General features: G+C 36.1%; 1 long non-coding RNA gene across 1 annotated transcript; it reads right to left on the bottom strand.

Annotated features, from left to right (window-relative positions):
- Positions 1-1,322: 1,322 nt before the first annotated feature.
- On the bottom strand, positions 1,323-10,794 carry LOC112268046 (uncharacterized). The gene is made up of 3 exons (XR_002956916.2): positions 10,702-10,794; positions 3,818-3,923; positions 1,323-2,390 (listed from the first exon to the last, which is right to left on the bottom strand). It is a non-coding gene; the product is annotated as an uncharacterized LOC112268046 (long non-coding RNA).
- Between the last annotated feature and the right edge of the window lie 2,613 nt (positions 10,795-13,407).

Below are 13,407 nucleotides of genomic sequence, written 5' to 3'. Positions count from 1 at the left end.
CTTCTCCTTTCCTTCCCTCAGCCCATCATCAAAACCATGCCTGGTTTCCTATGCAAACAATTTGGGTTGAGATAAAGGTAATACCAATGATAGAACTATGGTAAGTGTTTTCCCAGAATTTGAAGGGTTAAAAATCAAGATATGTGATTCCCAACTGCAAAAACCACTAAACCCAAATCTAAATACATGTAAAGTGTTTAACTGAATATTTCTTCCTCCAGGAGAAATCCCTAGTGCTTAAAGATGAGGGTCTCTTTCATCCCATAGTTTGCTTCTGTTTTCCTCCTAGCCAGGCACCAGCCCTTTCTATTTAGCTATTGCTTTTCTACCTAAGGACACAAGAAAAATAAAGAATGCGGTTAGCATGCTTCTCATAAAAATACTAATGTCAAGCTTTGCACATTTTCCAGTTTTTGACTAGTAGTATAATAACTTAAAAAATACTGTAGCAGGTCACTGAAATCGACAGTGGCCCCCCTTGCCCCAGAATGGATTCTGATTGCCCTGCTAGCCTTCCTTTTACCAAATTCCCTTTTAAAAACTTTGATGTAGCACAGACAGAGCTTCTGTGACATGTAATATAGATTAAAAGCAAGAAAATTTCATCAACAGAGCATTAAACTTAAATATCTAAATGCCAAAGGGCTGGAAATTCAACCTAATTAAAATGGCTAAACACAGAGTCACAATTAAACAGTGAGAGAATTATGGAAAAGTAAATATTTACACACACATTGTACACTTATTAGGGTTTACAAAGAAATGCTTCTCATCTGCACAGCTTTCCTTTGTAATGATATTGTTATGAGGCAATAAATGTGGTTATAATTAATAACAGATGTTAAATGGCATAATTCATCCAGAAATCTCACTAATTACTGCAGAAGCACCAGACGAATGCACAGCATCATGGGAGGTATTTCTTATCTGTTAGTTTGTAAACTGAAAAAAATGAAAGAAATACTTAAAATAAAGCTGTAGTTATTTAAATGAAAACTTTAAAGTTACAACAGGCTTCCCCGGAGTTCATGTTTCATTCAGGGAAAACAAGGTGGCCTAAATGAGTTTGCGCTAACTTGGCCACTATAGTGGTAATCATTTTCTAAATTAGTTTAGGGAGAATGTTCCATAATTTAAACTGCATTACTTGTTGTCTTTAGAATGATGCTTACCATCAGATATTTCATTTTTCTACAGTCCAGTGCTTCTCTCCTTACAAGGGCACTGGGACAAATAAGGAGGAAGGCAGACAGGGTACAATGTCATGTAAAGTAATTTTATTTTATACAGATCATACAGAGAAGAGGTGGAAAGTATAAACACTTAAAGTAATTTTCCATAATAAATTTGGGAAGGCTGATTAGAAAAATTAAAATCAAGAGGCATCTTTTGTTATCTTCACAAAAGCTCAAAACCCAGGAGTCACTGTGAAACTCCCCATGCCCTTCACAGTCAACTCTCACTTGACTCTAATGTTGTTCAATTGTTTCCTCCACTTCCATGTTGTCTCAATGGTGGTGCCCTTTGAAATGTTTGTGGTTGACCTGCACCATATTTTACAAAGCCTTCCTTCTTGGATTTAATTCCTATTGGTCTTCAAAACAAAAGAGTTTTATTTACATCTTGATTTAAATAAAGTCAGGATGCTGGAGTAAAAACACCACAAATTTCCAAGGTTTTTGGTTGTACAAACACACATCTTTGCATGCACACATACACACACAAAGACAAGGAGAGAGAGAGGGCAGAGAGAGAGAGAGAGAGAGAGCAGGATGGATATTTGAGCAGAAACAGAGAACGAGAGACAAAAACTACCTTTAGTTTTGTATGAAATAGAAACCATTATACCAGACCTCTGGTATAATGCTTAATTGTTCCTTTTCCTTGTGGAAAGCCTGGTGGCCAGGTTATTTATTTATTTTTTAAGTGCCTCTGAGTGAGACAACCTTGAGTCTCTTGTTTTGATTTTTTTGGAGAATAGTTTTCCCATAAAATAGAAACTTGGCAATAAAAATCAATGTATACCCATCAATATAATCATTGGAGTCAAGGGAGATTTTTTTTCCATATTATCTTTTGGAACAATCTGAAAAGAAATCTGCTTAGGAAAAAGGCCAGGACAGTTTATTCTAGTGACAGAGAGAATGGACTAGACTGGTGCTTCCCAAACCTCAGTGCACATATGCACTACCTGGGGATCTTCTTAAAGGACAGATTCTGACTCAGGAGGCCTGCAGTGGATCTGCCATCCTACATATCTAATAAACTCCCAGATTCTGCTGCTGCTGCCTGTGGACACTGCGAGCAGTGAGGACCCAGAGGGCTGCTGACAGTCTCATCTAAATCTGGTATCCTTACACAATAGCGCTTGAGTTATCAGTTGCAGAGTCCTGAAAAAGGAAGCAAAGTGAAAGTTCATATTGAGCCTTAAATTAGAAAGCTGGAAGGGTACTTAAGGGGAATTCTGATTTATTCCTTATCACATGATGTTCTATCGTATCACAGATAAACTATTCCAGATGGCTGAATAAGTATGTGTTTGTAACAGTCGCCTTTGAAGATAGCCTGCAACATTGCTTGGTAGTTAATTCAGTTTTTAATGACCTCAAAAATATTTAGCAAAAGTTTCCTTTGCTGTATCATCAGTTAATTCTTTATGTACAGACTTCCATTTAGACAGAAAATTCCTCTAAATGATACCCCTTTATAAACTAAAAAACTATTCATTAATATGTAATCTCTCAGTTTCCATTCTTTACACTAAGCTATCTCAGATGGTTTAGACTTTTCTCAATGGGACATTTTCCAAGCCTTTAATCATCTGGGTAATCTTATCCAAGTGATGTCATTCCCCTTAGAGAGTAATTTATTCTACCTTCAGTTAAAAAACATCCATCCTCTTTGTTTTCATTCTTTCAATCCCTAAAGGCCTACTTCTTTTCAAGAATTTCTATATCATCACTGTAAAGGATCATTATCATCTCCTTAAGATCTTATGGTGAATAACCTCCAAAATCTCAGTCTTGTTAAGTCATTCAGTCGCAACACAACTGAACTGAACACAAGGAAGAGATCATAATTAGTAGACAAATTGTCACCATGTTGCACCCTGATGTTTATGCATTTTGGTGTTTTGCCCCTGATAATCTAATTGTTTTCTAAGTATTTCCCAAACTACTGATATATAAGACACATGGATTCAGCCAAAACATACATTGGAAAAAACCCGAATAATTTCTTATATTTCACTTTGTATTACAACACAAAAACCTAGTATTTATTAGGCAAGTTAACATTATTGAGTAAAAGCTTCCTTCTTTTTTTTTTTTTTTTTTTTTTTGTTTTTGAGACAAGGCTCTTGCTCTGTCGCCCAGGCTGGAGTACAGTGGCGCCATCTTGGCTCACTGCAAGCTCCGCCTCCTGGGTTCACGCCATTCGCCTGCCTCAGCCTCCCGAGTAGCTGGGTCTACAGGCGCCCGCCACCACACCCAGCTAAATTTTTGTATTTTTAGTAGAGACGGGGTTTCACCATGTTAGCCAGGATGGTCTTGATCTCCTGATCTGATGATCCGCCTGCCTTGACCTCCCAAAGTGCTGGAATTACAAGTATGAGCCACTGAGCCTGGCCAGAAGCTTCCTTCTTTTTAAAGCAGGGATGATAATAGAGATTCATACAGATTAAATTAGATTATATGTATTACATATATATGGATTATATTAGGTACTGCATATATAGAGATTATATATAAACATGCCTAGCACACATTGGTCATTCAATAAACAATTACTTCATTTTTCTGCAAGTAATGAAACTTACCAATCAGACCATGACTAGTACTTAGGATAGCATTTTTCACATAGCAAGCAGTTGATAAATATGTTGAATGAATGTATCAAAATAGAGGTCTAATCAGGCTGAGAATCTGAACAAAGAAAAATCATTTGAGTTGGTTAAGTCCCACTTTCATTATATGGATAAATTCACATCAATTCCTCAGACTTAGCTTTTAAAGGTTTCATTCCCAGGGTTAAGCAACATAATAAAAACCAGATACCAGATTTAGATGAGACTAGTGTCTATCTAGGTCATTAGAATCGTTTTGGTATAAATGGCCATAGAAAAAGGGCTCAGAGTTTTTTAGAGGAAAGATATCTAAATGAATTATATTACATAAGGATTATATTAATTTGCTGAAAGCCTTTACTTAGATAGGCAAGACTGTGACCATTTACCTATAGGGAATGTGTCAAAATAATATTAAATATCACAGTTAACTGACACGTTAGGGCCAAGACTCATGAAGAAGGTGATAAGGAGCAAACTTGAGCTCTCAGTGCCATATAGACTTCTATCTCTAAAAGAAAGGGTGTATTTTGGCATAGTCACTGATTATTGGGGTAATTTTTGATGTTTTAGGTTACTTAAAGCTGTATTTTCTCATCTATATGAACGAAAATTAAATTTTATCAACATATATATGTTAAATAACGAAGCACTTTATTAAAGCCTTTGTCACAGTGTCTAATAAATTTTAACTGTTTTTCACAGACACTCACTGTTGATGTAGGTATCCTTTTTTTTTTTTTCTTTCGAGTTGGAGTCTCGCTCTGTCACCCAGGCTGGAGTGCAATGGCACAATCTCGGCTGACTGCAACCTCTGCCTCCTGGGTTCAAGCAATTCTCCTGTCTCAGCCTCCCAAGTAGCTGGGACTACAGGTGCCTGCCACCAAGCCCGGCTAATTTTTGTATTTTTAGTAGAGAGGGGGTTTCAGCTTGTTGGTGAGGCTGGTCTCCAACTCCTGACCTCAGGTGATCCACCCGCCTTGGCCTCCCAAAGTGCTAGGATTATAGGCGTGAGCCACCGTGCCCAGCCGATGTGGGTATCCTTTTAAAAAAGAAATTAGAACTCTTGACCTCTACATCTGGAATGATTTGATACATCCAATTATGCTTATATCTAAAATGTTAAAAATTGATTATATCTGTGGCTTCAAATTGAGTGATTTATGACATTTATTTTCATGTGATATTATTTCTAGATTTTAATAATAAAAAGCCTAAATCATTACATGATTATACATTAGCATTTGTAGTTATAACTGACATAAAATATTTCCCCTATAAAGGAGCATAACTTCATTATTAATCAAGTAACCTTAGTAGTGATGACAAAAATCTATTAAAACTACTAAAACAAAATTTAAGGCAACATATGACAATGTAGAAATCAAAGACAATATTTACTGCCAAATTCAAACAGATTTAAGATTTTAAAGCAAATTTGGGGCTGGGCATAGTGGCTGACGCCTGTAATCCTAGCGCTTTGGGAGGCCAAGATGGATGGATGGCTTTAGGTCAGGAGTTCGAGACCAGCCTGGCCAACATGGCAAAATCCCATCTCTACTAAAAATACAAAAATTAGCTGAGTGGGATGGTGCATGCCTGTAATCCCAGCTACTCAGGAGGCTGAGGCAGGAGAATCCCTTGAACCCAGGAAGTGGAGGTTGCAGTTAGCTGAAATCACGCCACTGCACTCCAGCTTGGGCTACAAAGTAAGAGTCTGTCTTAAAAAAAAAAAAAAGAAAAAATTTGAGACAGTCTTTGTCATAAATTTGGCATTAACAAATCTGTTGGTAAATTATTTTAATTAATGTTTTAAAACTGAACATACGCATGATTTAAAGGCAAGTAAGTAAAGTAAGTAGTTTCATGTTAGGAAAAATAACAAGCCCTCCAACCAACCCTTTTCCCCAAATTCCCACTCTCCAGAAACACTTTAAATTCTTTATTATTTTGCTATTTATCTTCATATCTTTAAGTAATTAGCATATCATACTACAGTTGAACCTTGAACAACACAGTTTTCGATTGTGTGGGCCCACTTATAATTTTTTTTTTTTTTTTTTGAGACAGGGTCTCACTCTGTTACCCATGCTGGACTGCAGTGGCGCAATCTCAGCTCACTACAACCTCCACCTCCTGGGTTCATGCAATTTTCCTGCCTCAGCCTCCCGTGTAGCTGGGACTACAGGCCAGGCCACCACACCCAGCTAATTTTTGTATTTTTAATAGAGATGGGGTTTCATCATGTCAGCCAGGCTGGTCTCAAACTCCTGACCGCAGGTGAACCACCCACCTTGGCCTCCCAAAGTGCTGGCAGTACAGGTGTGAGCCATGACGCCAGGCCAAGGGTCCACTTACACTTATTTCTACACACCTCAAACATGTACTTTCTTCATCCCCCTTCATCCCAATAGAATAATGTCATAATTTTTGCTAGATCAGTACCCATTACTTACATTATTATGACTATGTAAATGTTATGCATAGTTGAACCACGTAGTATAATTACTCTTATACTTTTACACAAGGTATATTTTTTATATCTTGGTGTTATTTTGTTCTTTGCTTATTTTTCCTGAAGATAATAATCTTTAAAAAAATTTGCTTAGATCTCTAAACACATCACTTCTACCCAAATACTCCTCCAGTGAAAAAATCTCTCAATCTGTTCAAACTCCTTGGGTATCTAGTCAATATCATCTGTTTAAAGAAACTCTCCAAAAGCCTTTTGATTAACTTGCTTGTACTGGCTGCCTTCTAGATTTGGCATATATTAAATAGTACTCATCTTGAGAGTTTACTTCCTCCTTTTTCAGGGCACTGCATTTGTCCATGTCTTATGTTACATCTCTTGTTTTTTGGACCTCATATGGCCATTGCTTGGGGTTTACTCACTTGTCTTGCAGGGTACATATATTCCAAACTTCAATAACTTTTTGGAAGGTAAATTTTTAAGACTTTACTTGTCACAACATGAATTGATTCTACCTTTATGGTTGAGAGTTCATCTTTATGGTTAATTAATTGATAGACCCCTAAATCAAAAATCATTTTTCCTCAAAATTTTGAAAGTATTGCTCTATTACTTTCTACTGGCCAATAATGGGTTGAGAGGTCTAAAGCCAGTCTGCTGCTTCTTTCTTCTATGACATCTAATTTTTTTTCTCTCTGCAATGCATTTGGCTCTTCATTTATTCACCATATTTTTGAAATTTTACAATAATACTCCTTGGTATGGCAGTAATCTATTTTTAGGTCACTGCCTAGCCTCATTCCATCTGGAAACTTACAGTATTCAGTTCTGGGGAATTACCTTAAATAATTGATTTAATGATTTTCTACATTTCATTGTCTCTATTCTCTCTTTTAGAATTCCTGTTATTTAGCTATAGGAATTTATAGAATAGTCATCTAACTTTCTCATTTACTTTTTATCATTTTTGTTAGTTTTCTAGGAGATTCTTCATTTTGTCTTCCTAATCTTCTTTTGAGGTTTCATTTCTGCTATTTTAACTTCTGCATGTTTTCTTGTCCTCTGAATTATTCTTAAAAATCGCCTTTCATTCCAATTCTACAATTGTAATATCTTCTCTTACGTCCATAATAGTATTAATAATAGGTTTCTTTGTTGATTTTAGTTTCATTCTCCCTGTATATTTTCTGTTTCCTTCAGATTGTTCTAGTCAGCTTATTTTGATTTCTGCCTTTTATATCAGATAATGTCCTTGAATGTTTGGTGATCCTTTACAGTCTGCTCCTATCAAAGAGGAGGGCACTAAGAGGCTGATTGAAAGTTTTGCCTTCATAGTAAAGCCTTGTGGACTGTGGATTTCACTGTATGGTGCTATGATTAAGCCATTTTGTTAGACAAATCCCAGTATCAGTAACATTTACTTAATCTCCCTGTTTCGTATGAAACCTTATCCCCTGCTGTTTCCCAGCCCAGAGAGCCTATGTTTCACTTCTCCAGAAAATAAACCTCTCATCCACAGCCCTCGTCGGGGAAGAGAACCTTGGGATTTCCTTCATCTTACATATTCTTTCAACTCACCCTCTTTTTTTTTAAAGCTCTACTTCACCTCCCACATCCAGAGTTACTTGGCATCACCAATGCCTGAGAATACTAAGGATTCTTTGGAGTAAATCAAGTTGTTGTTTCCCCTTTCCTCACTCTCAGTTTAGCATTTCACTTTTTCAGGTCTGCTGCATTCAATTGCTTTATCCATCTGCATTTTATCTTTAACCACGTGATGGTTTGTCTCTTCTCTTTTTGCTTTGTCTTTGTAGGTTTACGTTTTCAAAGACATATATATTTACTGATGTTTTAGTGGAGGGTTAGGAAGGACTGAAAGGAAATGCTTATGTTCAACCTACCACCTTTAATTGGACGTCTATAAATAGTTGGTAACTATATATTAAAATGAGACTTTATTAAACCTCCCCTGTTCTACAGTCAAGAAGATACAACTGCTTTTTGTTTTTATTCTTAATTTTGTTGTATTGTAATTGGACATTTTATGGTGTTATTCTATGTGGGAAAAAAATTTGTGCTAATGGTTACCGTACTGCCCAATAAAGTTTCCATATTTCCCAAGCTTTCTGAATTGTCACTCAATAAATGGTTACAAATACCTCTTGAGAGTCTGAATTCTCTTAAACCCAGACTTTCTATTACAAAACTAATCACAAGGAAATTCAGTTGGTCCTTCCTAGGCACAGTGATGAAACTTAGTTGGTTTTTAACTATCAAGAACTGCCCTAGTATGGAATATTCTTTGCTTTATAAAGTTAGAACAGCCCTAGAAAATAAGCAATATTCCAACTTCTTAGAGAAGATCATGAGACAGATCTTTATTTAAGAAGAAAAGGACTCTGACAAATGCTTTCACTGTGTCAAGTTGGTCTCTCTGAATGGCTTCCTTGGGACCCTGCATGTTTGAGGAGTGAATATGAGGAGATCCTACTTTGTCTTGAAGTGTCACTGTTTATAACTATCCAGTGGCATCAGGTCCTGTTATAGTTTGCTGAAAGGTCCACAGGTAAACATTAAAAAAAAAAATTGATTGACTTTCTGCTGTACTGCAATTCATGAAGCATCTTGAAGCTGACTGATTTCCAGGCTTGTACTATAGGTTTGGGGGTGGGTTTTTTTTCTTCCAGTTCTATTTAGCACTGCTTGTTTTCCTCCTGATCCATATTCTACATATCTACTTAGTTTACCAACATCTCAAGTGTGGTTTCACAGATCCGTCAAAATTTACAGTAAATTAGAAAGGTAATGTTTCCAAGAAGATTTAAAATTACTGGTAGTAAAATAATGACCACAACCCAGATTGGACCCTCTGGAGAAGGCTGAGGTTTGCTTTTCCTGAAATGGTCAATTTTAGATTGCAATTGAGGCAGCTTCTTGAGTGATGAGTGAGTCAAGGAGAAGGAGTTTAACAAGCCCATATGATTCAAGTTATGTAATCTCACCTTCCTGGTATAGATCCATCATGTTTTCTGCAAAGTTATTTTTATGTCTTTTTTTCCCTAAGCACTACAATATACAAAACCACACAAACACTGTAGTGGTTGTTTTGTTGTTGACGTTGTTATTTACAATTAAGCATTGTTAAAGTAAACCTGCTGTCTTGTAAAGGCGATGTGAGAAAATGTTCAAGGTATCAATTTTAGAGGTTTAATGAGCTCAGTGTTAAAGATGTAAAGGCCCCTCCTTTCTCCTTTCCATTTTCTTTAAAAACTAAACTATTCCTCCATTTTCAATATATCCAAAGTAAGGTCACACACTGCCCTCAGTTAAAAAGGCAGCATGCTTTAAGTGGATGTCAATGATTGGTTAATTTACAATGAGGCTGAGAGAAGAAAGAAAACAAGGTTGGGGTAAGGGCTGTAGTCCAAATTTGCCAGTTTCCCAGGTGAGTGCTCTATTTGAATTAAAATATTGGTTTTGCTAGCTCAAGTCAACAGAGACTTCTTTCCCCACAATTCCACACAGTACATAAAGAACAAACCTCAAAGCAATTCAGTGGGCACATATTTGGTAGTTGAAGTACTCTATCTTGCAAAGCACATTAAAAGAGAAATAAAATCCTTACTGCATTCAGACAAGGCTCCTTCCCAGCTGAATATAATGTGACCACAACATGGAGTACACAAACTAGTTACAGGTGAACCTCAAAAGGCTGGCCTGTTAGGTCAGCATATACTCATTTAACTAGTCTGTCTCCATGATTTCTGAAACTGGATTGACTCTTCAATAAACTAAAGGCTGAGCATCAAATTAATGTGAAATGCCTCTTGAAATTTAGCTGTACTTCACCAAATTTGAAGCTGAATTAATAAAAGAGGGTATAACCTTTAGTTTTCCTTATAATAAAACTTATTTATGAACTTTCCAAATTTGATATGGGGAAAAATGCACATCAAGAAGTTTTCCATTGCTCCCTCATAAATAGTATTGCCCTATAACAATTTTTATGTGCAAAATTATGCATAAAGTTATTTGTTTCTAAACATTTGATGCAAAATTTGCCTTAGTGTATATTCAAAACATTGATCAAAATTTCTCCGTACTCATTCTGAAAGAAAAAACTCCAGACATAAACAGTGAGTAGAGTTTTAGCTTAATTAGATGCATATGTCCAGCTTTTTTCTCTGTCTAAATCCTAAGAATATTTCCAGGTTTGGATTTACAAAATTAATATATTTACAAGCACAAAATATAAAGTCAGGCTTGCTTTAATATTGGAGTAGCTTAGAACAACTTGGCGGGGTAGACAATTTCCCAAATGTTTCCAGATCACCAGTTTTTTCACATATGCCCACTGGGTGGGAGGTAAGAATACAACACTGACCTAGACATGGTTTCCAATATCTCAATGAGCACACTGGAAGGAGGCAAAGGATTGGTCCAAACAAGAAGCTACTCCCAGTTCTGAGGCCAGTATCTGGAAAAGCACATGAATAACAGATACTTTTTTTCTGTCTCTCTCCTGGAAGTAGATACAGTCAGTTGAGGCCAGCATGGAAGAAAAACTCAGTCGGGACCTTTAACCCATGAGAATGAGAAAAATCATGTACAAATTCTCTCCTCAAATCATCTAGTAATGCTTTATGAGACCAGTGATGTACAGCATTAACCTTCAAGAAACTCAAGGCAGAGCGCAGAAGAATGCTGAAAAGGTCAGACCTTCCACCATAATTACTACCAAAAATTCAGAGGACACTTTCAGTATTAAAATTTCCCAATTATTCACACTTATAAAAACACCAAACAGCATTAAAGAGGGAAATGACTTTCTCTTCCAGTTTTAGTTAATTGGGCAAAGCTAGTTGTGCTTGTTAGCAAACAAACAGATTACACTCATTGCATTATTTTTCTGCCATGAATTTTAAGTACAACTGTGGCAAGAGAGGTTTTACTTGGTTTAAGGATTATGAAAGCCTATACATTTATTTGAAGACACAAAAACAGAAATCTAAGACAAAAGCTTTGGAAACCACTGAGATTTTCTAACCAGATATATATTCATTGTACAGTGTTTGGAGTCATGTGGGTTGAAGTGGTTTTGTTTTAATGAACTTTTCCCAATTCTTATTTAGAAAACCTCTCATTTACAAGACTCCCTGATATCAGCTTGAATTCTCTTCCACCTCTTTGTCTAGTGCTCTCTGGAAACTGGACTTGCTTCTGCAAAGTGCTGTAAAATTGTGTCCAAGGTTTAATATTAGATTGCATTTTCCACACACCGAAGACACAAGCAGTGGGAATGTAATTTATATCACTGATATCCAAGGAATGGCAAAGAGTATATCTGCTTGACTACCTGGATCCCTGTGGACCATGGTATATTTTAAAGCAGGAGAAGCTTAGACCAGGATTACATAGTTATCATGACCTGTGAGGCAATTTGGGTTTTTCCAGTGATAGGGACAAGTAGGGGTAAAAAAACATGTATTTTGATTGCAATTTAAAGAACAACTAGATTTCATATGAAGAAAAAAGCTTTCTATGCCTGCAGCTCTGCCCCCATGAACTTTCCTGCTTACCAGAATTACTGGAATTGCCCAATAAGTCTTTTATTTAGTCATTCTTCTAAATAACATTTATTAACCATTTTCTCTGCCCATGGCATGCTACCACAATGCTACAATAAATAAATAGGTATATATCTATGTATGTATGAACATATATACATATTTCTTTCTTTGAAGGTAAATACTACATATATACATACACATCCATACAAATAAATTAAAACCCATTGGAGGTGGGTATCTACCCATAATACACTCTGTCATACAAGACAAGACAAAACCAAACTAAACCAAAGTGATACAGTTATATTAAAAAGCACGAGGGGAGCCTGGGGCATGGGTAGAAAAATTCCACTGAGGGCATTCAGAGGGGCTTCCTAGAGGAGATAGATAAAATTTTGGCTGAATAGCATTTTGAAAGGTGGAAGTGTAGATAAAAGATGTTAAGCAGCTAACACGCTGCAATTAAATATGAAGGCCACACTTTCCCCAGGAGAGTTCTTCTGTACTTCCCTCAAAATGATCATCAACTAGACTAGCTCATGAAATACTGCCATGGTTGTCATCTCTAAAAACATTACTGCTCACATATGCAAAGGTAAGAAACCAGAATTACAGTACTTGCTATTTATAAAATATAAGAGCAATTCTTATCAGATTGGTGCTACAAGAAGAAAAATTTAATATTTGTACTGTTTATATAGAGATTTATCTCTGAGACGCTCCTCTCATATACATTATTTCCTGGTATAATCTAATATTTACTAGGAATCTTCCTCATGTTCAATACTTTTTAGAACTATAATAAACAATCCAATTCAATTTAAAAAATAATAATGTTTTCCTCCAAATTCTAATAATCCTGTGATACAATCTGTCCCCAGTTGTGGTTACATGTAGTAATTTCCCTTCCTTTTCAATTTCTTTGTCAAGTTATTTTCTTTGTCCCATTAATTTTTTTTATATGTAGTCTTTTGGTTCAAAGGGGTCACAAGAGGTTGGTCGGGTTCTTTAGAATTCATACTTTCATGATATATTTTCAATTTATTTATTTAATGTTCCAGACATTAGTCTTCTGCAATATTATATAAAACAACTAATGGATGTCATTGCTGACTGGGTCAGGTGTTTCATTTGTACATTTAAACTTAGCTGTAATAAATCTTATGTGGGTCTATTTGACTTTCTTGGTGGTAGAGGGGCAAGGCAGGTATGAGGGAGGTAGTGCTGCACATACATATTAAAGCTATCTCAAATAGCAACCCTCTTTTCTAAAGTAAATTTCTTTCCAAGCAGATGGGCCCTTCTTTTGAAATAAATATTTAATTGCCATAAGCATTTGCATTTATAAGATTGGGGTAGATTTTAGTAATGATAATATCTGGATTTTACTATCAGTCTTTTGCAAGTGTGGGTAGAAAATATTCATATATCCAATGTAATAAAAGCTGTATATTTTTTCTTAATGATTAATGTACAAGCATATGGTTCCTCAGCTTCCCCTTCCCAGGAGCATCCTAATT

Source organism: Homo sapiens, chromosome 9 (genome assembly GCF_000001405.40).
Source record: "Homo sapiens chromosome 9, GRCh38.p14 Primary Assembly".
Taxonomy (NCBI): domain Eukaryota; kingdom Metazoa; phylum Chordata; class Mammalia; order Primates; family Hominidae; genus Homo; species Homo sapiens.
The sequence above is the reverse complement of the archived record's forward strand: the minus strand, read 5'-3'. Positions and strand labels throughout refer to the sequence as shown.